Below are 27379 nucleotides of genomic sequence, written 5' to 3'. Positions count from 1 at the left end.
ATTTTATATTACACAATTACCTTTACCAGTACTCTTTGTTTTAGGGGGTGCATTTGAATGAAGATCTGGACTCACTTGCTTTCAGTGTGAAAAACTTCCTTTAGTATTTCAGGTAAGGTGGGTTTCCTAGCCACTAATTGTCTCATTTTCTGTTGCTCTGGGAATGTCTTTATTTCATCTTTTTTGCAGAATAAAAGATTCTTAGTTGACAATTTTTTTCTTCCAGCTCTTTGAATATGTCATCCCACTATCTCTGGCTTCCATTGTTTCTGATGAGAAATCATTTATTAATTTTATTGGGGCTTGTGCGTATATGAAGAAATTACTCAATTTGTTTCTCACTCCTTTCAAGATTTTCTCTCTGTCTGTTTTTCAGCATTTTCTATAATGCACCTGATTGTGGACTTCTTTGTGTTTGTCCTACTTGAAGTCAATTAGTGGTTGCCTAGGCCATATACATAAATCTGTCCTTAGATACATCCCACTAAGCAGAAATAGTCAAAATACTGTGCTTTAAAGTCACTTTAAATAATAAATTTATCTGTGTAATTTTGCTACCAAATTGATATGCAGCTAGGTTTGTTTATTTCCATTTTTAATGTTTAGGGATTTCTTTTTATTATTTAATTTTAGCTTTCATTATGTAAACATTTTACATAGTACCGAAGTCAAAAACATAACAAGGTATATTTACAAAATTCTCTTGTCAATCCTGTTTTCTTCTCTTTGGTCCTTGACTCCTCTTCTAAGTAACCATTTTTTATTTAATTTGATTTATCATCCTACTATTTCATATTGAAAATATAAGCATTGGTGTGTATGTATTCATAGTCTTTCTTATACAAAAGTTAGCATATAAAAACACCTCACACAGATATTCTTTATTCCTATTAAAACTAATATTACTCCATTGTGTGAATGTATCATCATTTACTTAATCTGTCCCTATTGAAGAACATTTTGGTAATATTTTATTTGTCACTGTATTAGTTTTCTATTGCTGCATAACAAATTACCATAAATTTAGCAACTTAATACAACACAAATCTAATATCTGAGTTTCTTTAAGTAAGGAGTCCAGAGCAGGATAACTTGGTCCTCTAATCAACATCTCACGAGGCTGAAATCAAGATGTCAGTCAATGCCATGATCTCATCAAAAACTTGAAGTCTTCTTCCAAGTTCACTGGTGGTTGGAAAAATTAAGATTCTTGTAGTTGTCAAGTAAAGTCCCTGTTTTCTTGACAACTATCAATCAGGACTACTCTAAGAGGCCCTCCTCAGGTTCTTACCACAGAACCCCCTCCAGGGGCCATCTCAAAAATGATTTGTATGTACATATGGACCTGCTCTCACCTCCCAAAGAAGTCTTAAAATACCCATGTTAATTTTAATACACTACTCATAACATTGCTTTGGATATTTATTGCTTTCACATAGGCAGCATAGAAGAAAAACTGCTTTTTATAAAAAATCATTTCTCTCAATATTGTAGATGACTGTAATTTCTTTTTTTTTAACTTCCTGGTATATCATCCCTCTATTAACTCCATTCACTGCTCATGCCCACTTCCCAGCATGGGAACCCCAAAACCTGATGATTGTTCCCCAGCACCCCTGGCAGTTTAAGTCATGGGTGACTGAAACAGACCTGGTCAATTAAATGCAGCAGGCTGGCACTGTGAATTTGGACAAAGAAACAGGCAAAGTGGAGAATCCATTACAGTGGTGAAGGCAGCAGCAGCCAAGTCCAGTGTTCAGTGGCATTGGTGGTACTGATTGAAACTGAGATGTCTGAGTCCCTGTAGAGGCATCAGTGTGCTTCCCTGAGGTTGATCTGTGGTACAGTCTTGGCCATGGCTCTGCCTGCCTGGCCTGCCATTCTTCCTGCTGGCTTCTCAAGGCTTGTTCATCAGCCCTCCTGGAAACTCTGGGAGCAATCCTATGTTCTTTCAGTAAAATCCTTTTCTGCTTTAACAACTCTGACTGGTACACTTTCATTTTTTTCTTGCAGAAATTAATGGCAACTTCCTAAAAAAGTTGAAATGAATAAAAATTGTTTATATGAAATGAAAATGAACTTGATGACTGCTCAGAAATAAGAAATCCGAAGTTAATGAGAAAAAGAAGTTAAAATTGTAGTGATCTTTGACATAACACACTTTATTTATATCTCTTGTTTCTAATAAGTGCTTAATCACAAAGATGTGCATTGTTATAACTCTCTAGACAGCTGGAGGCTGCATTACCTCCTTGATCTTTAAGTAAAATCCCTTATACTAGGTAACTTCATAGCCAATGGAAAGCTAAAATTCTACCTCAACGTTTCTGCTAGGTCAGCAGCAACTGGCATCTGCCTGCCTCCTCCACTTCTAAGCTCTGATATCCCTACATTCTGCCCCATCCCAGTCAGCACTGACCCCATCTTAGCCCCTTTCCACATATCAAGCTTTTGTAATAGTAATAGATTTGATTGTATCTTTGGGAGGATTCCCATGGAGAGGTCACATCAAATAATGTGACCATCAACAAAACCTCTACCATTTTGCTGGCTCTTAATTTTTCCCTTTTTACTAAACAAAGCAGTTATGACCAATCTTTGAAGCTTTAGGACCCACTGACACCCTAACACCTTTAGGCAACCTGTTTACCCAATAGTAATTGTTGTACCTTGTTTTTGGTGTTCTTGTGCCACTTCTTTGTACTGACCCTCCCCAGTACACCAGAGGCATCTACATTGCCTTGAAAAGAATTAGAAAGGGAGATATGCGAAAAGAAAAAAACATGATTCAGGGTTTTTGTTTTTTGTTCACCTCTTGATTTCTGTTTTATATGTAAAATAGGTTATTAGGTGTCAAAGCAGGAAAGCCTTAAGGGAAACAGGACATGGAGTTTGATCCATAGAAATTCATTAGAAAAAAAATTGAAGGAGGCACAGAAAATTTACCCTTGAATCTCCATGGTGACTAAATGAAAGTTCCTGGGATAAGGAGGTGGCAGGAAGGGGAGAGTGTTCTGGAGCATCACCTGAGGGGAGGTAGGAAGAAGGGCTGAATTGTGGTGGGGGAGGAAAGGATAGGGAGTGAAAGAACAGAGTCACCATCAAGGAAAGCCAAGCTTCCAAAGCCTCTTCCACAGGGAGCCTGATAGAAGCTGAGCCAATGCCATCACCCACAGCCATTCCAGTAGAAGTCACAGGAAACACAATGACCACACTGAGGAACTATGTCAGTTTTCTTCCCATTGCTGATGGAAGACAACTTGTCATCCATGGATCAGCAGGACATTTATCTGGCACATACCATCCAAAATGTGCTGAATAGACATTGCTTTTTTTTTTTTTTTTTCCGAAAGTCCAGACTTTTCCGAAGTTTTCCAGAAAGAGGGGTCCTTAACACCAGGAAGCAGTTGGAAGTCTTGGAGGGGCAAGTGACCAAATCTCATATTTGAGAGAAACTGAGTAGCGACAAAATCTATCCCAGTTACACATTTATCAGTGTATGACTCTAGACAGAGTTTTCTCTAAAAGAGATTTGGGGGCCAGCTTTTAATATTACAGCATTTTGCCCACAGCAAATGGAATCAGAGCTACTCATCACTCATTTTGCCAGGTTAGAATAATTTTGTGCATAACAACACCAGAATTCCCCAGGACTTTGAACTGAATATGAGTCAAGTCTTCTCTTTTGTCCTCATATCAATGAGGGTATCTTTAGCAAGTCTGAATTACTGGTGTTATTTTTGTTAGCAAGGAAAAAAATTGCAAATCCAGATTCCTATTTTAAGGTTGTTTAAATAAAATAACTTTCAAAAGAACTCTGCCACATTGCCAGGAATCTATATATCACTATCTCCTTGGCTTTCCCATTTCCAGAGTACAAAAGTATATCTTCATCCAGTATCAAAAAGTTCACATACTTGCCCACCTCTAGCAACAGCTTAGTCAAAGAGCTTGTAATTTTTCAGTAGCACCCATTGTCACTGCAGAACCCGGAATCGAAAGATTTACCTTAAGTATGTAACCAAAAATATTTGTTATGTAAGTCAAGCCACAAGCGAGCTATTCTCATGCCAAAATTATTTTAAAAGTAGATTTACTTTCTTTTTCTCTCAAGAAAAGGAAAGTTCCATGTGACATTCAATCACTTATTACCAGATTTGCTCTTGGGAAAGCCAGTAAATGGTGGAATAGAGAAGAACTTTGTATCTTGCTCCCATCTCTTGACAAAACATCTTGAAATGATGCCGTTATAAATTTAACACTTTTCATAGCAGTAAGCAAAGCTTCCTTCAAAAATTTTGAAAAGGCTTTTGATGCCAATGCATGCCCATGTCAACAACAGTGAATCACCCTGACATGTTACCAAGCAGTAAAGCGCAGGGTGGTGCCAAGCATTACAGGGGTCCTGTCTGCACACAAGAAATTGAGATTTTTCTTTCAGGCAAATTTTGCTTGGCTAAGAAACACTGCATCATTTTGAAACTGTTGACAACCTTTACAGTTTCCAAAAGAGGTTCACAAAATGGGACTTCTTGGATAGCATCAGAATGCACACAATAGACAATCAATAGGAGCTGGCTACACTGAAAAACACTGTGGAAGAAACTAGTGTTGACTTTATGATCAGTCATGAAACATTAGGAGAAATGTCAACAGCTACATAGAGAATTGTGTAATTTAGGAAAGACACTACTTCAATTATCTTCCCTGCCCCATGCTACTCCTAGCTTGACTATTCCCAGGGCACACGGTTTCATCAAGATCTCTCGATGTGAGTAGTTTCTTTCTTTCCTGGTGCCCAATTAGCATTCTAACAGGCATCAAGTCAAGGCTTTTATTTAGGGTCAAATATGAGTGTGTATAAAATCCTGGCTGTTTCAAATCAAGTCTTTGTTTCAAGAAAAAGATTCACACTTTCCAATGAGTTTCAGAATGGTCAGACATGAAGTATCTCCTTGGTTTTGTTTGGGATTTGGGATACCATTGACAAGAACTCAGCCACACAGGAATCATGCCAGCTTTTGTGTTGGTGATAAAAGAGAAACCCAATGAAATATACATTTCATCATTTTAACCATGTGAGTATCTCAATTACAAAATATAAGCCTCTTCTCATTCCTGCTAGGCTGATAGAATGAGTTCAGTTTTCTGTTATAAGCAGAAACAGCTTCTCCCACCTCCTCAGGTTTCCAACACAGCTCAGAGCAGGCAGACGTTTCCAGCTCTCCCCATCCATGTTGGGTACTTCCACACATTCCCCCTTACTCTTCTTCCTAGAAGAAGAAGATTATCAATGGATAGGTCATTGGCCTGCATTTTATGAGCCGCTGAGGCTGCTTTTTCTTAAAAGGCTAGCAGCCATGTTCTGGTGTTTCTCTTCTATTCTGTTTTTTAGTCTAATTAGCACGTGTATGTGGCTCTGGTTCTTTGGAGCAAGTTCATAACGTTTTCTGCATTCCAGCAGCTCCTCCCTAGACTGGGAAGATAAGTCTGCTCAAAATCTTCTCTTCAGATCCAGCCATCTTAGTTCTGAAAAAGCCTGTTCAAGCCTCGGGCCTTAGTAGCTCTCCTGTCCTCTAACTTAGCTTACCAGAACAGCCATATTATAGAGGGATATTAGTCAAGGATTCAATCAGGAAAATAGAAAGCTCTCTAATTATTTAAAACAGAAAAGAACCTAATCCAGAGAATTAAGCTACTATACTATTGGAAGGCCTAGAGGAAGACAAGAGGGGAAAGTAATGTCTCTCAGAGACCAGGACCTGCAGGAGGCCACACTGGTCTGCCCTAAGCAGTGGGCAGCCATCACAGAGCACACATGCACTGCTGCTGCTGCCACTACTCCTGCCACTGGCACCTTGCAAGCATTCACAGGTGCATGTCAGCAATGCAGCTGGAACCAGAAGTCTAGGGCCTTCAAGTGACTTCTACCCGCTCCCTCTCATCACACAGGAGTCCATCCCATTAGAAGAACCAAACTGGAAACCAGCTGTCAAGGGGGTCTGGGAAAGGTGGTTCTCAGGAGTTCTGCCCCAGTGGTACAAGACAGGTATAGGCCTGAGTACTCCCAGACAATAACAGGTACATTGGTAATTATAATCATTTAATAAATAGTCATGTTGTTTTCTTTCTAGCTCCCAATCTTTGTGTATTGCCTTCTGCCAGAACTCTACAATAAAGGAGGAATGGAAGTGAAATTTGGGCAACAAACTCTATCTGAACCCTAATATTTTTTCTGCATTTGCCAAAAGCAGGTATAGCAATTTCAATGACTTATCATTCAAATCAGAGTAGTTTATTAATTTTGTAATAAAACCATACATACAGACACAAATTTTATATGAAGCAGTAAAAGAATATCCTATAACCCACACGCAAGAAAGTAATTTTGTGAACCTCTAATAATGGGGTGATTTCTGAGTTTCTGCTGAGTCCCGTGCTAAAGGTAGGCCAGAATGTGTGTTTGAAGAGAATGACAATTGAGAGAAAGGGGTGAAGGTTTGGGGGATGAGTTGGGGGGAAATTGTTTTATTTTCTACTGAAAGGACTGGATGGAGGAGAAAGAGAGAAAGAGTAGAAGAAGTAGGAGAGAGTGGCCAAAACAATTTTAAGAGCAGAGATGCCTAATACTCACTCTTACTTTGTTTGAAATGTTGTGATAATGAGTTTCCTTTTATATCCATACACATTGAGTGGGGTTTTAAAAGAAAACAAAGAGCTGATTTCACACTCAGATTGATGCCAGAGAGGAGGTAAAGAAAAAGTCACAAAGCACAGAATGGAGAACCAGAACTCAAGAAAGAAGAAATCAGACTCAGAGATGCCCCAAGGGTGTGTCCCTAGAGAGTCCACAAAAATCTTGGGAACAGCACTGGACTTTCCCACAGAGTGTGGAATAGAGACTAAGTCAAACCTTTCTAGATCTTAGGGAGAATGATACTTATGTTATACTTTTGTACACTTGACTCATAGGAAATTTGGTACAATAGGAGTTCCATTGCTATGAGCCTCAAGTGTCTGCTATGGTACCATTGGTAGACTGGGCTATCCTGAGCCAGCCCTTTTTTGTCACCATTGCATTATATCCATGGGCCTGGCATCTAGCTACAGATCACAGTAAGGAAAGAGAACACAGAAGCTTGAGCCAATTGTTCCTTTATAAAAGTCAGTTTTGCAGTTTTATATAGATCTAACATTCAAAATGGCCTATGGTCACTTAATAGGAATTCCACGGCTGGTTAGCAGTGGCTAGATTGGGGCATTAAAGTTAGCCTGGTATTTTTTCATTGTCTTCAAATATTATTGTGGCATAGACAGGCATGGGAAGTTAAAGTAAACTAAAATTACAAATGCCATCCAAAGGTGGGGAAAGGGAGATAAAAAGAGTATTACGTCCTGATTTCTTATCTTCTATTGAGATACCTTCCTATTAATTCTTTGCCTGAAATCACAAGCATTTATTAGATTCGAAAGATGTGCTTACTTAAGGGAAGAAAAATAGAGGTAACCTAGGCATTCAGAAGGAATCATCTAAGTTTGTATGTTTGTGCATCTTTGTGGTGAGTGTGTATATATTTAATTTGAAGAGTTTAGGAGTGTTAGGTTTTCCAAGCTACTATATTTATAGTCACATTTTATTTTCTTCAACATTTTCTAATTGTATGTTAGACCCAATATCAACAAACAAACAAAAATATTAATAATCATAATGGCAGAGCACATTTGCTTTAATTCTAATCAATAAATCTTAGATTATATGACATGATAACAATCCATTTTTAGCTCGTAAACAGTTGCAGTACAAGATATTTGAGCTGAAACAAACCACAATAATGTAATTTTATATATTAACATAAAACATTTTTTCATAATACCATTTTCTGAAAAACAGGAAGAAAATTTGAAAAAAAATTTTAAGTCTAAGTATTTGTATACCTGGTTTTTAAACTCCTGATATGTCCCCTAGAAGGTAACTCATTGGCCATGGCTTTAAAACTCCTGGCATAGTGTGTGCTTGGTGACAATGGATTGCTGTCTGTCAAAAAGCAGAAGGCTTGCATAGTGGAGAAAGGTTAAGAAAAGGCTGCAGTCAGATGGAGCTAGCACTAAAGACCCACTCAAGGAAGATGGACTTAATCCTACAAGTCAGCAAGAGCCACCTGCTACAGAGGAGCTTTTTGACAATGCAGTTTCTTGGGCACTACCTCAGATCTAATAAATCAGATCATCAGGGGCAGGGCCTGGGGATCTGTATTTTTCATGGCCCTCCAGGTGATTCTTACTCATGCTAGTATTTGAGAACAACTTCTTTAGGTGGCGATGGACTTTTGCAGGCATGGGGCTTTTATTTGCTATTTTTTTATTTGTTTAAAGCAGAGGGGTATAATAAAAACACAAATTTTAGTGTTTAGTGGTAGGCTGGGCACAAGGAGTCCTAGTAGGGCATTACTTTAATTGCCTAAGTAATGTGATGAGAATCTGAATGGTAAGGGAAACTGTAAAAACGGTTTGGATTTACTGTAAAAATGTAAAAATGGAATGGATGTGGCTTAATTAACAGCTATTAAAAATATTTTAAAATATATAATATATATAATAAATAGGCAAGAAGATTTAGTAAATTATTGGCTATGGAGAGAGAAAGAAATCAAAGTTAGACAATGACTTTCAGCCTTAATCAATTGATCAACAATGGTACCATTAAAAGAAACAATTAAGATTCATTGCATTAGAGATCAGAGTAAAACAGTATTCACTTGGCAATTATAAATATTCATTGAAACTTCAGAGAGGTTAAAATAAAATTATATATTCTAGATACTAGGCCCTTAGCAAATATATAATATGCAAATATTTTTCCCATTGTGGGTTGTATCTTATTTTTAAATTTTATTAATTTTTTTTTATTTTTTAGAGATGCGTCTTGCTATTTTGTCCAGGGTGGTGTCTCAAACCCCTGGGCCTCAAGCAATCCTGCCACCTAGGCCTCCCAAAGTGCTGGGATTATAGGTATCAGTCACAGCACCCAGCCTCATCTTTCTTGTGGGTTGTTTTTTCTTTCAACTTTTATTTTAGATTCAGCGGGTACATGTGGAGGTTTATGTGGATAAATTGTGTGTTGCTGAGATTTGGTGTACAAATGATCACATCACCCACATAGTGAGCATAGTCTCTGAAGGGTAGTTTTTCAATCCTGGCTTCCCCTACATCCTACCCCCTTGAGTAGTGCCCTGTTTCCATCTTTAAGTCCATGTGTACTCATGTGTACTCAATGTTTATCTCCCACTTATAAGTGAGAACATGCGGTGTTTGGTTCTCTGTTATAGGATAAATTCATTTAGGATAATGGTCTGCAGCTGCATCCATGTTACTGCAAAACACATGATTTTGTTCTATGTAATGGTTGCATAGTATTCCATCATGCATATGTACCACATTTTCTTTATCCAGTCCACCACTGATGAGCATCTAGGTTGATATTTGCTATTGTGAATAGTGCTTCAATGAACATACAAGTGCATGTGTCCTTTTGGTAGAACAATTTATACACCCAATAATGGGATTGTTGGGTCAAACGGTAGTTCTGTTTTCAGTTCTTTGAGAAATCTCCAAACTGCTTTCCACAGTGGCTGAACTATTTTACATTTCCACCAACAATGTATAAGCATTCTCTTTTCTCCCCATCCTTGCCAGCACCTGTTTTTTTTTTTGTTGCTGTCGTTTTTAATAATAGCCATTCTGACTGGTGTGAGGTGGTATCTCATTACAGTTTTGATTTGCATTTATCTAATGATTAGTGGTGTTGAGAATTTTTTTATGTACTTGTTGGCCACTTGTACGTCTTCTTTTGAGAGGTGTCTGTTCATGTCCTTTGCCTATTTTTAAGTGGTTTATTTGTTTTAGCTTGATGGACTGTTTCAGTTCTTTATAGATTCTATAGACTATAGAATCTATAAAGATTAGACTTCTGTTGGATGCATAGTTTGTGGACATTTTCTTCCATTTTGTGGGTTTTCTGTTTACTCTGTTGATAGTTTCTTTTGCTGTGTAGAAGCTCCTTGGTTTAATTGGTCCCACTTGTCAATTTTTGTTTTTGTTACAAGGACTTAGTCATAAATTTTTTCCCAAGGCTGATGTCCACAATGGTGTTTAGTAGGTTTTCTTCTAGGACTTTTGTAGTTTAAGGCCTTACATTTAAATCTTTGGTCTATCTTGAGTTACTTTTTGTATATGTTGCAAAACCAGAGTCTAGTTTCATTTTGTGTATGGCTAATCAGCTATTTCAGCACCATTTATTGAATAGGGAGTCCTTTTCCCATTGCTTACTTTTTTTCTTTTTTTATACTACCTTTAAGGGGTAGCAGCCGCAGGGAAAAAGGGGGCGAGCGCCCACACACACCTGCACATGCATGTGTGTTGTTTTTGTTGATTTTGTCAACAAAACATTGTTGATTTTGCTTATTTTTGTTGATTTTGTCAAATATTAGATGGCTGTAGGTGTGTGACTTTATTTCTGGATAAATCCTGTTCCATTGGTCTATGTGTCTGTTTTTGCACCAGTTCCATGCTATTTTGGTTACTGTAGTCTTATAGTATAGTTTGAAGTCAAGTAAGGTGATGCTTCTGCTTAGGATTACTTTGGCTACTCAGGTTCTTCTTTCATTCCATATGAATTTGAACTTTAGTTTTTTCTAAATTTGTAAAAAATGACTTTGGTAGTTTGATAGGATAGCATTGAATCTGTAGATTGTTTGGGGCAGTATAGCCATTTTAACAACATTGACTCTTTTGATCCATGAGCATGGGATGTTCTTCCATTTGTTTGTATCATCTATGATTTCTTTCAGCTGTGTTTTACAGTTCTGCTTGTACATATCTTTCACTTCTTAGGTTAGATATATTCTTAGGTATTTTATTTTGTGTGTGTGGCTTTTGTAAATGAGATTGCATTATTTATTTGGCTGTTGGCTTGACTATTATTGGTGTAAGGAATGATACTGATTTTTGTTCAATGATTTTGTATCTTAAAACTTTGCTGAAGTTGTTTATCAGCTCTAGGAATCTTTTGGTGAAGTCTTTAGGGTTTTCTAGATATAGAATCATATCATCAACAAAGAGAGATAATTTAACTTCTTTTCCTATTTGGATGCTTTTTCTTTTTTTCCTCTTGTCTGATTGCTCTGGCTAAGATTTCTAGCACTATATTGAATAGGGGTGGTGAGAGTGGGCATCTTTGTCTTGTTCCAGTTCATAAGGGGAATGCTTCTAGCTATTGCCCATTCAGTATAATGTTAGCTGTGAGTTTGTCATAGATGACTCTTATTATTTTAAGGTATGTTCCTTTGATGCCTAGTTTCTTGAGGGTTTTCATCATGAAGGGATGTTGGATTTTATCAAAAGCTTTTTCTGCATCTATTGTTTTTAATTATGTTTATGTGGTATCACATTTATTGATTTATGTATGTTGAACCATCCCTGCATCCCAGGAATAAAGTCTACTTGATCATGGTGAATTAACTTTTTGATGTGCTTCTGGATTCAGTTTGCTAGTATTTTGTTGAGAATGTTTGCATCTATATTCATCAAGGATATTGGCCAGCAGTTTTCTTGCTTTTTTCTTCTGTGTGTGTGTGTGTGTGTGTGTGTGTGTGTGTGTGTGTGTGTGTGTTTGCCAGATTTTGATATCAGAATTATGCTGGCATCATAGAATTAGTTAGGGAGGGGTCCCTTCTCAATTTTTTGTAATAGATTCAGTAGCATTGGTACATGCTCTTCTTTTTACATTTGGTATAATTTGGCTGTGAATCAATCTGGTCCAGGGCTCTTTTTGGTTAGTAGGTTTTTTGTTACTGATTCAATTTTAGAACTCAATATTAGTCTGTTCAGGGTTTTTATTTCTTCCTGACTCAGTCTTGGAAGGTTGTGTGTTTCCAGGAATGTATCCATTCTTTCCACTAGATTTTCTAGTGTTTGTGCATATAGGTGTTCATATAGTCTCTGAGGATCTTTTGTATTTCTGTGGGATTAGTTGTAAGTCACATTTGCCACTTCTGTTTGCATTTATTTGGTTCTTCTCTCTTTTCTCCTTGTTCATCTAGTTAGCAGTCTATAGATCTTGTTTATCCTTTCAAAGAACCAGCTTTTTGTTTCATTGATCCTTTGTATGGATTTGGGGTCTCAATTTCATTCAGTTCTGCTCTAATTTCAGTTATTTCTTTTCTTCCTTTAGCTTTGGGTTTTGTTTGTTCTTGTTTTTCTAGTTCCTCTAAATGCAATATTAGATTGCTAATTAGATATCTTTCCAACTTCTTGATGTAAGCATTTGGTGCTATAAACTTTCCTCTTAACACTGCTTTAGCTGCATCCCAGAGATTCTGGTATGTTGTGCCTCTGTTTTCATTTATTTCAAAGAAATTTTTAATGTCTGACTAATTTCATTATTTACCCAAAAGTCATTCAGGAGCAAGTTGTTTAATTTCCAGGTAATTGTGTGGTTTTGAGAGCTCTTCTTGGTATTGATCCTCACTTTCTTAATAGTATCTTTTAAAGACAATGCTTTTCATTTTGCTGAAGTCTAATTTGTTTTTCAGTTGCTTGTATTTAGGTATCTAAAAAATCCATGGCTTAATCCAAGGTCACAAAGATTTACATATAGGTTTTCTTTTAAGAGACTTATAGTTTTAGCACTTCCATTTTGGTTTATGATCCATTTGGAGTTCATTTTTCTATATACTATAAGGTAGGGATCCAATTTTCTTCTTATAGAAAAAACAATTAAATTATGGATATGAGAAACATCCACAGGAAATTGATAGTCACAGCAATGAGAATGAGTGAGTTCTTCGAAGGAACAAGTGTAATGAAGACAAATGAACTGAGTCTTGAGAGTCACACATATTAATATGGAAGTGGAAGAAGAGACATTAGGGAAGAAGTCAGAAGAGAAATGTCTTTAAAGACAAAATGTCACATTTTAAGGAAAAATATTACCCACAATTGGTGAAAATGAGATTACCCTATGCTGTCTACCTGCTCCTCAGTTGTTCTTTGCTAATTTTGAAAGGATATAGCCCCACCTGAAAGGAATCCAGGGGTTCAGAGAGGAATATAAGCTGGAAGTACTACTCCCAGAAGGCCAATAATTCCTCAAGACTAATACCATGCTCTATAAAAGAGAAAGCTGCATTTCATCCATTTCTTAATTTGTAGTGTGTATTTTTTCCCTAGTAGGGTTTTAAACTTTTAATTTCCTACTACTCTTCCAGCCTCAGGCTCTATCCTCTGACATTTCAAGCCAGGACGCATCTCATAGAAATAAACTCATGTTCACAATGCAGCTCTGTCTTTGAAGGGTCTGTTCCTCTGGGGTCTCTGTCTGCTTTTTCACTGGGTCCCTGAGGTCTCTGTGCGTACAGACTTTAATGATGAGAAGAGGTGTGGGCAGCGTGTATGCTCAGATTTCTGAGTCTCATCCTTTCTACAGTTCATTCTCTGCCAGAGTCTCCCTCTTAAATTTCCAACAGGTTTTTAAGCCATGAACACTGTTTAGCCTGGTAAAGCTACATTTTCTCCTACCTGCAGGGATTAGGGAGCACTATCAGGTAACAGGCCACAAACTTGCAATTCTTACCACTTTCAGTTGCAGTTTCTCAGGAGTAAACTTACCTTATTTCTGTTTGTTTTTGGATACTTTCCCATTCCTCTACATAGTTGGTGTTTTTTTTTAATATTTTGTTCAGATTTTATCAGTGTTATCTGTGGGAAGTTTCATATGATCACTTCACTCTGCTATAATTATGTCTTTCTCTCAGTTTGGGAGTAGGATGTTTGGGGCTCTTTGTGGGCACATGTGAAGAAATGGATAGTGGATAAATAAAAATATCTCTTCCCTAAAGAGCTGCAGAAGGAAACATTGTCAACACAGGAAACCTTTCTTGAATTAATATTAAATGCTTCTTTTTATATACAGTGGCCAGATTATTATTCTGACACTCTCCTTTTTCTCTATTTTACCAAAAATCGATCATACTAGCTGGGTGCTTGTCAGAACTCACTAGAAGTGAGGGAAAGGGAATCTTTGGGATAAATGCCCTCCTGCCAAACAAGGATACAGGCAAATAAATAAATAAATAAATAAAACAAAGCTACACATAGAAAAAATAACAATAATCACAGCATAGGTTTTCCTTGAAATTAAGTCTCAAGAGCTGAAAAGCATCTAAGACATAGTTTTATGGATGCTGGCAAAAAAAAAAAAAAACTCAGGAGTCAGAGAAGAAGGACTTTATTACTCAAGGCACAGCAGATAGCATGAGCCTCGTGTTCACCTCAGTTCCCTTTCCCATCTCTGAATGCACACAAGTTCTACAGGGATATGTCCAGTGGCCAGCACAGATGTTACTCACACTATGCTTTTGTATCCCAACTGATGACCCCTGATCTTAGGAAGCCCTCAATCTTACAAAAAGGCTGCTAGCAAACTTGCCCAACCTTTGTTCCAGAACAAGACAATATCCTTTTATTCCAGACAGCAAACAAATCTGTCCTTGTCAGAGATAGACACTATCGCATCTTCCAAAACTATTTACCATACAAACATCCTTGGAAAAATAATTGAGAACAAAAACTGATACAAAACATGCAGAAACACAAGAAACCCATGAAGAATTGTTTCCCAACAAAGTCGTCCACTAAATTTTTGAACCAGAAGTAGGGAAAGTATCAGGAAACCAGTACCTGTAGCCAAAGAAAGGCTTTTTTCCACCTGCGAAACTTGCTGTGGTGCTAAATGTGTGGTTCCCCTCCCATGCAGCCAAACCAAGAGATCAATACTAATAATAATCACTGGGGTAGCAGACATGAAAACAGACTACCTTCTCTTTCAGTGCAATTACCACACAGTGCACCAACTTTAAAAAAATTATTAGCAAATAATTAAGAAGGAAGAGCAATTTTTAAAACGTTTGAACATAAATGAGATTTCTTTTGTTTATTAACTCATTCAGAAAGGAACTACAACCTGTCAGAATGACTTTAGAATCTCTCTAACAATTTTGTATTAAGGGTTTGGTTTCTTGAAACCACTGAGACAAAGGTTTCAGAACCTTTTTGAGAATTTGCTGCTAACATTTATAAGGCAAATATATAAATATATCACATTTATATTTGATCATCAGTTACCAAAAAAAAAAATTTAGCACTTTCCAATTGCCAAACACTGCGCCAGGTACTAAGACAAAAGGTAACTAAGATAGACAAAATCCTTGCCCTCATGAAAATTATATTTCAGTGGGATAAGCCAACAGGAAGCAAGAAAAGGAATACATAAATGAAATAATTACAGGTTTTGAGATATTCTGGAAAGGAGATAAACAGGGACTTCAACAGAGGCAAAGGTTTAAGCAGATAAACAGGTCAAGATTCACTCTCTGAAGTTACAACATTAGAATCCTCATAATGGGTAAAAAGGAACCAGTTCTGCAAAAAGCTGAAGTAGGAGTGTTCCCAGCAGAGCAAATGGCCTGAGCAAGACTTCAGGTCAGGAAAGTTCTAGGAATTGACAGAAAGCCTACATGACTGCAGCCTGGTGTGTGAGAAGAGACTGATGTTACATTCAAGTCAAAATGCACTTGACACCATTTCCTTTAAAGAATCATTTGTTTCCATTTAGAAAATATTAACAGATATTGATCATGAGTAGCAGACGAAATTTCGATATATCTAAAATTTCTAGGAAAACTATGGTTGTGCATGCTCATAGCTTCTCTTCTGCATGGCCTCTTTCCTCTTCCTCCCTTACTGAAGCAACTCAGGAGTTTGTACCACCTTCTCCCCCTCTATATTTTACCAGGACTGCCAGAAAGTCTGTGTTAGTGTCATCTGGCAGAGTCCGTTGAGGCTACTCCTCCAGCACCATGGGAGGGTCTGACACTGCCTGCTTTGGCTTTGGGGAGAACTCTTTCTGTCTTTTGTTACTATCCCCATCCGCCGGCACAACCCCCTGAGAGACTGAAGTTGTCTCTGCCCTGGAGGCTGGGAGGAGTTGGAATAGAAAAGGCTCCCTTTCCCTTTGCCACTCTGTGGTGACCCAAGACTAGCTCAACAGGCAGTGCAGGCATGTTCAGGCACTTTTCAGAAAGGAATCGCAACATGCAAGGGAAAATGTTACCCACTACCCGGCGTAGATAACATCTTCAAGCCTCTTTATTCCAGATATATTCCTTCCCACAGGAAGAATTCTCACCCTAGAAATTCTTTTCCCATCTCCTCTTACAATGTTCCAAGTCAGGGTTGCAGGGTCTTGAGTATCTTCTACCTCAACCCAGGACATGGTGATGTACCTCACCTCCCAAGATCTCAGCAGAGCATCAGTTTCAACCCACAAGTAATGGAGTATCAAGCTTCTAATTCAAAATATCCTTGTAACAGTCTCACTAATGAGAGTTCCTTTAGTAGTTGACCTATAAAATAGCAAGCCCACTAATCTTCTGGCAAGACTGCATAAGGTGCATAAGATGCCCCAAGACTTTGCTCAGTCCATATCTACATAACCCCTAGTGCTGCCTCATCTTCAGCATCCCTGGACACTCATTTACCCTATTAAAAAATGTAGGCTTTGGACTGACAACGACAAGTTGGAACTGTGGTGAAACAACCTCATTACAATGTTCCAAAAGGCCACAGATTGAAAAAAGAAAAGGCATGCTTAATAAAACCCTGTCAACATCTCTTCTGCGTACATGATTTATTTATATTCAAAAGAGAAGGTAGCACATGCCCGTGGTGGGAAATACCACGTGACTTAGCATTCTGTCTTTTTGGAGAAACCACTTACAATTCTAGAAAAAGTATTTCCTAAATATACGCCACTCAATACATTTGTAGAATAAATTTGGAAATAAACACAATAATGTGATAACCCTAAGCAACACAAAACAAAAACGGAATGACGGATACTTCTTTGATAACTCTGTCTTGCTTTCTAACCTGCAGAGGCTGAAACCTCTCGTTAAAAAGATGTTAGATATAACTATTTTGGCCTAGAAGGGTTTTTTGAGTTAGTTTACCAAAAATCTGTGTTCATATGGACTGAATGCTTGTGTTCCCCCAAAATTCATGTGTTGAAACTTGGGCCCACAGTGTAATGGTATTTAGAAGTGGGGCCGGCCAGGCGTGGTGGATCACGTCTGTAATCCCAGCACTTTGGGAGGCTGAGGTGGATGGATCGCCTGAGGTCAGGAGTTCAAGACCACCATGGCCAACATGGCGAAACCCCGTCCCTACTAAAAATACAAAAATTAGCTGGTCATGGTGGTGGGCGCCTGTAATCCCAGCTACTCGGTAGGCTGAGGTAGGAGAAATGCTTGAACCTGGGAGGCAGAGGTTGCAGTGAGCCGAGATCACACCACTGCACTCCAGCCTGGGCAACAGAGCAAGACTCTGCCTCACAAAAAAAAAAAAGTGGGACCATTGGGAGGTAACTAGGTTTAGATGAGGTCATGAGAGTGTAGCTCCCATGAAGGAATTAGTGTGCTTATAAGAAGAGGAAAAACTAGAGTGCTCTCTCCCCAAACTACCCCCACCACCTCCAACCCCACCACCAGCAATGTGAGGACACAGCAAAAAAGCAGCCATCTGCCAACTAGAAAGTGGGCCTTCACAGACACTGAGTCTGCCAGCACCGTGGTCTTGGACTTCCTAACCTGCAGAACTGGGCGAAATAAATGTTTGATTTTAAGACGCCCAGTCTGTAATATTTTCTTATGGCAGCCTGAACTGACTAAATCAAGGTTCAAGGCTGCTGAGCCTAGCTTTCATCATCAGAAACAGGGCATTTAAAAACAGCCCATAGAGTTGATTTAATAATTTTTAACCCAGTTGTTATTTGTATTGAAAAATTTAATAAAAGTAAACTGCTTTAGATAAAAAAAAAAAACTGGGAAATGATTTAGGCAGTGAATGACAACTAGCTAAAAAAGAAAAGGATCTTAATGCTAGTTTTCTCCTGGTGTCTTTGTGTTTGTTTTTAGGCACAGTAGGGTTTGCTGGTATCTCTAAAACACAAGCAAATTGATTGACCAAGGCAATGCCTTTTGTGGACTCAATCAGCTGAATCATTAGAATATAGATTTCTTCTGTTCTAGGTCATGTTTCTGTAAAATGGCACCCAGTCTGTGATGGCAAATTGTTTTAAAAGGATTGGTTCTTGGGGACCAATAATGCAATAATTCTGCTTTTGAAGATTAATACTGTTTTCCACTCCATCTATCTCACTGTGGAAAATGGTGGCGGGGGGGATGTTACACAGGCTGGGAACACTGGTAAAACCTGGCCATCTGTGCCTGGATCGGTTTCAGAGCTCTTTCATACAAAGAGTCTGGATGAACAGAGGAGGTTTGTTTAAAATGCTTTGTCATGCTGTAAGACCAATAACTATTTGGGCAGTGCTGTAGATAGGAACGGGGTTATAGGTCTCTAGGCAGCTCATCCGAGAACTTACATGAGTAAATTGGAAATCACACACCTGAAAGAAACAGGGCAATAAATGTTATTGTAAAAGTGATTTAAAGAAACTCTCTATTCCCCAATGAGAAGACTTTTAATGGCTTCTTATAGTTATTCACATATGCTGTTGTATAACAAAAATAAAGAAAAAAAATGCTCCTTTGGGAGGCCTAGGCGGGTGGATCACCTGAGGTCAGGAGTTCGAGCCCAGCCTGGCCAACATGGTGAGACCCTCTCTCTACTAAACATACAAAAAATTAGCCGGGCATGGTGGCACGCGCCTATAGTCCCAGCTACTCGGGAGGCTAAGACAAGAGAATTGCTGGAACCCAGGAGGCGGAGGTTGCAATAAGCCGAGATCCCGCCACTGCACTCCAACCTGGGAGACAGAGTAAGACTCTGTCTCAAAAAAAAAAAAAAAAAAGTGCTCAGAGGTTATGCATGTCTTTAGAGCAAAAATACAAATCTCTCAAATTACATGAGAGAAGATTGTGAGAGAATATACCATTCTTACGGGGTGTTAGATACAACAATTTTGCTAGACTTTATTTAGATGTGACAAAATTTTAAATGAAACATCTATATGTCTTATTTTTTTGTCTTACTAACTTCCCATGAATAAGGGGAAAGAGCCAATATATTACAAAATTTAATTGGAATGCATAAGAGAAGATAAAAGCAAATAAGATTTCATTTGATATTTAAAATAACAAGGTTTTGCATTTAAATAAAAATCTACCTTAAAACACAGCATATGGACCCTTTTCACAACATGGCGCCGAAAGCGAAGAAGGAAGCTCCTGCCCCTCCTAAAGCTGAAGCCAAAGCGAAGGCTTTAAAGGCCAAGAAGGCAGTGTTGAAAGGTGTCCACAGCCACAAAAAGAAGAAGATCCGCACGTCACCCACCTTCCGGCGGCCGAAGACACTGCGACTCCGGAGACAGCCCAAATATCCTCGGAAGAGCGCTCCCAGGAGAAACAAGCTTGACCACTATGCTATCATCAAGTTTCCGCTGACCACTGAGTCTGCCATGAAGAAGATAGAAGACAACAACACACTTGTGTTCATTGTGGATGTTAAAGCCAACAAGCACCAGATTAAACAGGCTGTGAAGAAGCTCTATGACATTGATGTGGCCAAGGTCAACATCCTGATTCGGCCTGATGGAGAGAAGAAGGCATATGTTCGACTGGCTCCTGATTACGATGCTTTGGATGTTGCCAACAAAATTGGGATCATCTAAACTGAGTCCAGCTGCCTAATTCTGAATATATATATATATATATCTTTTCACCATAAAAAAAAAAACACAGCATATGTTCAAGTTAGAAGAAAAACAAGTTTTCTCTTACTTTGTAGAGAGGACAGATGTGCCCAGAACTATTTATTCCAAAAACTTTCACTAAGTATCATAACTTACATATCATTTTCTTATGGCCAAATGTTATATATTGAGTGGATTAAGTTATAAATTTTAGCATTATGGAACAATCTATGGGAAGCTATAGAGTTTAAAATTGCTATTTAAAAAAACCACAAAACTTAGTAGAAATTCCAAATAACTCGAAGACTCTGTTCAACAAGTGAATGAAAAAGAAAATAATATTTCCTACCCAGGAAAATCTACTTGACTTGATAAATTGACTTCAGGTTACAAAATCACCAGATGTCACTAAGGCTATCCTACAGTAAAACTTTCCTTCCATTCTTAAAATGATAAAAAATAGGCTAAAGGATTTTTGCCATGTTCTTCAGAGTCTCATCGCAACACATCAATTTCATTAGGAGAACTATCATTTACTACAAGCACAGACTACCAATGTCCACTACACACACACACACACGCACACACACAATCAGCCCCTTTTTTCAGGTTCTAAAGACTGCACCACCATTCAACCTGTCCCCAATGCCAGCTTTGCCACTCTGCATTTTATCTAAAATGGATAAATTCAGTCTGGGAATGGTGGCTCATGCCTGTAATCCTAGCACTGTGGAAGGCTGAGGTGGAAGGATCATTTGAGCCCAGGAGTTTGAGGCTGCAGTGAGCTATAACTGCACTGCTGGGCTCCAGCCTGGGCAACAGAGTGAGAGCCTATCTCTAAAAACAATTCAAATCCTGCATACTCAAAAGAAAGGTTGGAGAAACATCTCGAAATTACAGTTGATGAATTTATAGTTTAGCAATTCTTAATTTGACAGTGCCGATCAAACTTGGGCCCAAATCTTGAGCTCATTACTTAACACCTGTGCAGCCCTGGGATTTTTTTTTTTTTTTTTTTTTTTTTTTTTTTTTTTCCCCTTATTTCTCTGAGTCTCAGTGTCTTCACCTGTAACATGGAGAGAATTGTATCAACCTTGTGCATTATCTGTAAGAAAGAAAGATAATCCAGTTAAAGCACCAAGCACCAGGGCTGGCACCTGTAGTCAGTGCTCAATCAATCACACCTGTTAGGGTTCTTGACGATTTGGGAACCGGAGTTTCTCGATTTTGCTATTCACACACAGAATGCTCTTTTACCATTAAAAAAGATTTTAAAGTTGTAAAAGAAGGAGATAATTTGGCCACCCTGTCATGGTCTGCCTTCTCTTTTCCAATTTTATTCTGCTTCTTGATTCTAATTGGACTAGAATATGTAGTTGTTTGCTAGGGCAGCTGCAACAAACTACCACAAATGAAGCAGCTTCACCAACAGAAACTTATTGTCTCACCGTTTTGGATCCCAGAAGCCAGAGATCCAGTGTTAGCAGGGGTCCTTTCTTCTGATTGCTGCAAGGAAGAATCTGTGTCATTACCCTCTCCTAGCATGTGGTAGTTTGCTGCCAATCTTCAGCATTCCTTGTCTGGTAGAACCATCACTCTGGTCTCTGCCTTCATCTTCACATGGAGTTCTCCCTGTGTATGTGGCTGTGTAAATATTTTCCCTTTCTACAAGGACATGCTCATATTGGATTATAGCCCACCTTACTCCAGTGTGACCTCATCTTTACTTACATCTGTAATGACCTTATTTCCAAATCAGGTCACATTCTAAAGTACTGGGGATTAGGACTTTAACATATGAGAATACATTTCAATGCATAACAAAATGCTATAAGACTCTCATTATTTCCATGAACTTTCTGGACTGTAAACTCTAAAGGAAACAAGCAGGACCTAATTACAACTCTGGTTGTCAGCCTCTTTACCTTGCCAGCAGTCTGCACTGGAGCATGAATACGTAGCATTAAGTGTATAGGGAAAAGAATCTGATCTTCCTACCGAACAGCAAATCTTGTTCTAGAATTTTATCTGATTGTTTTTAAAGTAGAAACACCACAATTAATGTCTTGCACTGTTTACTTTCATCTATTGCAAATAACAGTTCAACTAAAAACCACTTCACTGACAAGACGGGAACTGAGAAACCCTATCAAAGGAAATGAAAAACATGGCACAGCTTGATCAAAAACCTAAGGATGAGCTTCAGCTGAATACATGAATAGCTGATGTTGCTCAAAACATGGGAGCCAGCTCTGAGGCTTGGAACAATTTTTATTACGAAAAAATTTTCTTTGGGTAGATTTTTTTTTATTTGGTTTCCTTTTTCTGTTGTTTGAAGAATGATCCATATGCAGATTTTTTTTTTTTTAAGGCAGAAGGCTGGATGCACAAAAGGTTTGCAGTGAAAAGAAAGTACACCTCTCTCTGTGCCTCCCAGTAATCCAATTCCACTCCCTGGAGGCGATGCCTACCTACCGCCAATTCCTTTAGTCTCTGCATTTAAAAACACAGATAGATTCACACAAAAGACAGCAAGTGGACTACCCTGCGCCTGGCTTTTTTCTCTTTACCTTGTATCTTGAAGGTTCTGCCAGATCATTAGCTGTTTCACTTACCATAACAGCTGCACTCACTGTGTTCCAGAGTCATGAGTCTTCTCGGGTAGGAATTTTTTGTTTGTTTTGTTTGTTTTGTTTTTTGTTTTTTGTTTTTGTTTTGAGACACAGTCTCACCCAGCCACCCAGGCTGGAGTGCAGTAGCATGGTCTTGGCTCACTGCAACCTCCGCCTCCTGGCTTCAAGCAATTCTCATTCCTCGCCTCCCAAATAGATGGGATTACAGGCGCCTGCCACCAAGCTGGGCTAATTTTTGTATTTTTAGTAGAGACAGGGTCTCACCATGTTGGCCAGGCTGGTCTCAAACTCTTGACCTCAAGTGATCCATTGTGTAGGAATTTTATGTATAAAGGAGCAGTGTTCTCACAGTCCTATAATGTGCCACCTCCCTGCCCCAGCTCCATACTGCTTCACCACTGCCAAGGAACTGGAAGGCAGGGCTTATGCCTACAATACAATGTCAAATGGAATGACAGACAGACTTGTACTGGAGAAGTTCTGTTTGGTCACCTGTAGTTTAAAAAGAAAAAAAAAAAAAGCCAGTTCAGGAATCATTGCTCCTCTACCAAGCTTCCCTCCCTTCCCTTCCCCTCCCCTCCCCTCCCCTCCCCTCTCCTCCTCTCCCCTTCCCTCCCCTCACCTCCTCTTCTTCTTTTTTTCTTTTTTTTTTTCTTTTTGAGATGGAGTTTTCCTGTTGTTGCCCAGGCTGGAGTGCAGTGGCATGATCTGGGCTCACTGCAGCCTCTGCCTCCAGAGTTCAAGCAATTCTCCTGCCTCAGCCTCCCTAGTAGCTGGGATTACAGGTGTCCACCACCATGCCCAGCTAATTTTTTGTATTTTTAGTAGTGACGAGGGTTTCACCATGTTGGCCAGGCTGGTCTCGAACTCCTGACCTCAGGTGATCCACCGACTCGGCATCCCAAAGTGCTGAGATTACAGGCATGAGCCACCACATCCGGCCCAAGCCTTTCTTACTTCCTTTGCTCCTTTCACTCCTAAAAGGTGAAGGAAGTGTAAACTTTTTTCTAAAAATAACAAAAAAAATTGTAAGAGTTTATTTGTATATTTAAAGTGGCCTAGTTACCTTTGCTAATGCTCTAATTTTTTAAATTATTTCATTTTAATTTATTCTATTTTATTTCACTCTGTCTTGCTCTAGAAAAGACTCACAAAGGCTCTAGTGTCTTGTAAAAGTCCAGAATAGCACAGATTTTTCTATTTGCTTGGAAATTTACAGATTTTTTAAACTGCTTTTAAATATTAAGAAGGTCTTTCTGCAGAGAGTAACAATGTGGAGTATTACGTAATTATTGTTCCAGTCCTCTAAAATGCTTTTTCAAATTGTACCTATTCAGTTCAGTTGATTAATTAAAAGTTAACAATCTCCTGTGTCAAATCTTCTAATAGATAGAAAATTAATCATTCCTTTTTATATTATATTTATCATGCTTTTTATTACAAAAGTAATATATTCATTGTAAATTTATCTAAAAATAAAGACAAGCACATTGCATTTAGTTACCCAAACTGGCATTGGGATTTTTCATGGATACTCCCAAATATTTTCTCATGCACGTCATATGTTTATGTTTCAATAAACTCAGGATCATATCACATGTACTAAATGGCAAACTGCTTTTTCTACCTCATCATGTATAAAGAACATTTCGGCATCATTAATTCTACAGCACGATTGTTAATAACTACATTGACTCTATCATAGAACTGGAGTGTGATTTATTTCAAATGTCCCACTGTTGAATATTTAGGTGGTTTATAGTGATTAAGCATTCAAAACAATATTGGAATACACATACGCATAACTTTCTTGCACATTTTGCCAAATTATTCTCCCAAATAATTTAAACATTTGTTCTTAACATTTGAGAGAATGAATCCCTTTGAGAATCTGATGGATTTTGCATCTCTTCTCAGGAAAGGGCAAATATGTTCAAATTTTTATGCATCTTCGGAGCCTTCCGACCAAAACAACCCCAGATTGAGAACGCAGTAGCATTTTATGTCCCTACAAACCATATGAACGCCCTTTTGCTCACACTATCCCTTTGTTTTCAAACTTTCTGCTGATTTGAGAGATGAAACAGTACATCAGTCTTTTCTTACTTTGTATTTTTGTATTGCTAATGAAATTTGAACACTTTTTCCAGAAGTTGATTGATCATGTATTTTTTGTACATTGCTTATTCAAGCCTTCTATCTAATATAATTCAGGTTTTAAATATTAAATTAAAAAATTTAACACAACACTGTAAGATCACATAATAGAGTGGAAACTTTCAATTCCTGGGCTTTCTCTGGGCTAAAGGCATGGTCTTTAATAAATGATCCAATCTGTCATGTCTCAATATTTCCACCAGAGGGCAATATTAGCCCATCTATTATTTCTCTGGCTTCTACAGCTCTCAAGATTTCAATTTACTTTTACTAGAAGAATCTTCCTGAAAAATACTTGCAATGATGATAAAGTTAAATACTTCATTATGCATGTAACACATTATTATATAAAAGTTACGTTGTTATAAATTTTCTATTTAATTTGTTTCAACACATGAAAATGTACAAATGGAATTTCAATAATTATAATCATTACTTCAAATGAAAACTATGCCTCTATTAGCATTCTTTATTATATCCATTTACTTAAATTATCATTATTTCTAGAATGATGTTCGCAGTATGATTTATAATAGAATCTTCATAAACCATTAGCATAAACAGGAAAAGCAATTGACTCCTGAAAAGCCATTCTTTAAAGACAACCAGATTAATTCCTGACTCTAATTATTTTGCGCCTTTGGCTTACCACATAACAAGATAAAACCTAATTTCTTCTTCCCATTCAATAAAGATATGCAGGGTATCCTTCTGAGTGCTAAGGATATTGTTGTGAAGAAAACAAAAATCCTTGACCTCAGGAAGTTTACTTGTTACAGGATTGGGACATGAAGGAGAGACAAATCCACGCATCCTATATACACATTGGAGTGTGGCAGGCTTGGGAGTGTTAGGAGGGAATAAAGCCCGGAAAAGGGATATAGCACACTGAGATACATGCGGAGACCATTTTAAGTGGAGTGGCCAAGGAGGCTTCACATGTGGATGACATCTAAGCAGACAGCTTAGGGAGATGAGAGTCACTTCAATCTGAAGAAAGACAAATCCAAGCAGGGAGGGGATGTCAGCTGCAAGAGCTGACTGGTGAGAAACAGCAAGGAAACCAGTGTGACTGAGACAAGTGAGCCAGGGGTTGGGGAGTGGGGAGGAACAAGAGGCCGGAGGGTGGAAGGCCTTGGCAGCCTCAGGCTTGGACTTTCACTCTGAATGAGATGGAGAAAAGTTGGCATTTTAAGCATAGGCAGGACATTTTCTGGATGCATAAGAAGAATCACTCTGCGGGAGGCTGAGGCAGGAGAATGGCGTGAACCCGCGAGGCAGAGCTTGCAGTGAGCCGAGATCGCGCCACTGCACTCCAGCCTGGGCGACAGAGCAAGAGACTCCATCTCAAAAAAAAAAAAAAAAAAAAAAAAAGAAGAATCATTCTGATTGCTCTTTCCACAACAGACTTTACAGGGACAAAGGTAGAGACAGAGAGACCAGTTAGTAAGCTACTGAAATTAACTAGATGAGAAACTATGGTGATTTGGACCAAGGTGATGGTGACAGAGAAAAGAGTTTGGGGGCAGATGACATGGGTGGTGCTGATGACCTAAAGAATAGGTAGTTGCCTATGGGAGACTGGCATTCAGAGAAGAGGTCTGGGTTGGAAATACAAAATTTGGAAGACATCAGAATCCATGTAGAGATAGAATGACAGCTCAACCCTGGAACATTCAATGTTTAGAAGTCAAGGGAAAGAGACACCAGCAATGAAAGCCAAGAAAGAGTGTTGAGTGAAGTAGGAGAAGACTCAGGAATAAAGTATCCAGAAGCCAGCTGCTCTGAAGAGCAGAAAGTGATCTATCATCAACAGCTGAGGACAAGGACTGACCCTTGACCTAAGCAGTGTGGAGCTCATGGTAACCTTATAAAGAGTGATTTCATGGAGCGGGAGGCCAGAAGCCTGATCAGACAAGATTACAGAGATGAAGAGTGATACTGGACACAGCAAGTATAATAGTGTTTTCAAGGAATTTTGACAGAAGGGAAGCCTAGAAATGATGCAACAGCTGGAGGATGATATGAGCTCAAAGGGAGCATTTTCAAAGATGAGAAAAGTGATAGCATGCTTTTATGCTATTAGCAGTAGAGAGGGAAAAGTGGAGATTGCAGGAGAGACGGAAGACTTTCCAAAGCACTGACCTGAAATAGGCAGAGAAAAAATCCAGTGCAGAAGCTGGGAGTGAGCCACCATTAGTACACAGCCAACCACAAAGGCCCAGAAGCCAGGGGATGTGGAGCACTTTTGATTAAGAAAATAAGGTTGTTGACTATAGTTAATAGCAATGCATTATATACTTGAAAATTGCTAACAGAGTAGATTTTAAGTGTTCTCACCGCAAACAAATGATAAGTATGTGAGGTGATGTATATGTTAGTTAATTTCATTTAGAATTTCCACAATGTATACATATTTCAGAACATCATGTTGTACAACATAAATATATACAATTTTTATTTTTCAATTTAAAAGAGTAAATAAGAAAAAAGAATTCTACTCTCACCAGTGCCTGCATCAGCACATCCTTACCAGTGTTAGATATTAAGATTTTAAAACATTTTTCTCATTTGACAGATACAAAATGATATTTATTGTTCATTTTTGTTTGCATTTATATCTATTTTTAACAAAGCAATGGGATAATGTTTTGAACATCAAAAAGAAAAAGAAAAGAAAGTCACTGTTACTCTATGCCTCTTTATTCTGTATTTTATGGGGAAACATGCCTCATAGAAGCTGTGTATGTTAAAGCTAATATCATATCTAACTAATTGAGTTGAACTGTGTAGCAGCCTGACTGCTAGACTCTCCATTGTT

General features: G+C 38.3%; 1 long non-coding RNA gene and 1 pseudogene across 1 annotated transcript; one reads left to right on the top strand and one right to left on the bottom strand.

Moving 5' to 3' along the window:
* Positions 1-631: 631 nt before the first annotated feature.
* Positions 632-22447, bottom strand: LINC02067 (long intergenic non-protein coding RNA 2067). Its single transcript, NR_102265.2, has 4 exons — positions 21217-22447; positions 19411-19529; positions 5178-5273; positions 632-2030 (listed from the first exon to the last, which is right to left on the bottom strand). It is a non-coding gene; the product is annotated as a long intergenic non-protein coding RNA 2067 (long non-coding RNA).
* Positions 19262-19802, top strand: RPL23AP42 (ribosomal protein L23a pseudogene 42; annotated as a pseudogene).
* Positions 22448-27379: the final 4932 nt, after the last annotated feature.

This window comes from Homo sapiens, chromosome 3 (assembly GCF_000001405.40).
Source record: "Homo sapiens chromosome 3, GRCh38.p14 Primary Assembly".
Lineage (NCBI taxonomy): Eukaryota > Metazoa > Chordata > Mammalia > Primates > Hominidae > Homo > Homo sapiens.
The sequence above is the reverse complement of the archived record's forward strand: the minus strand, read 5'-3'. Positions and strand labels throughout refer to the sequence as shown.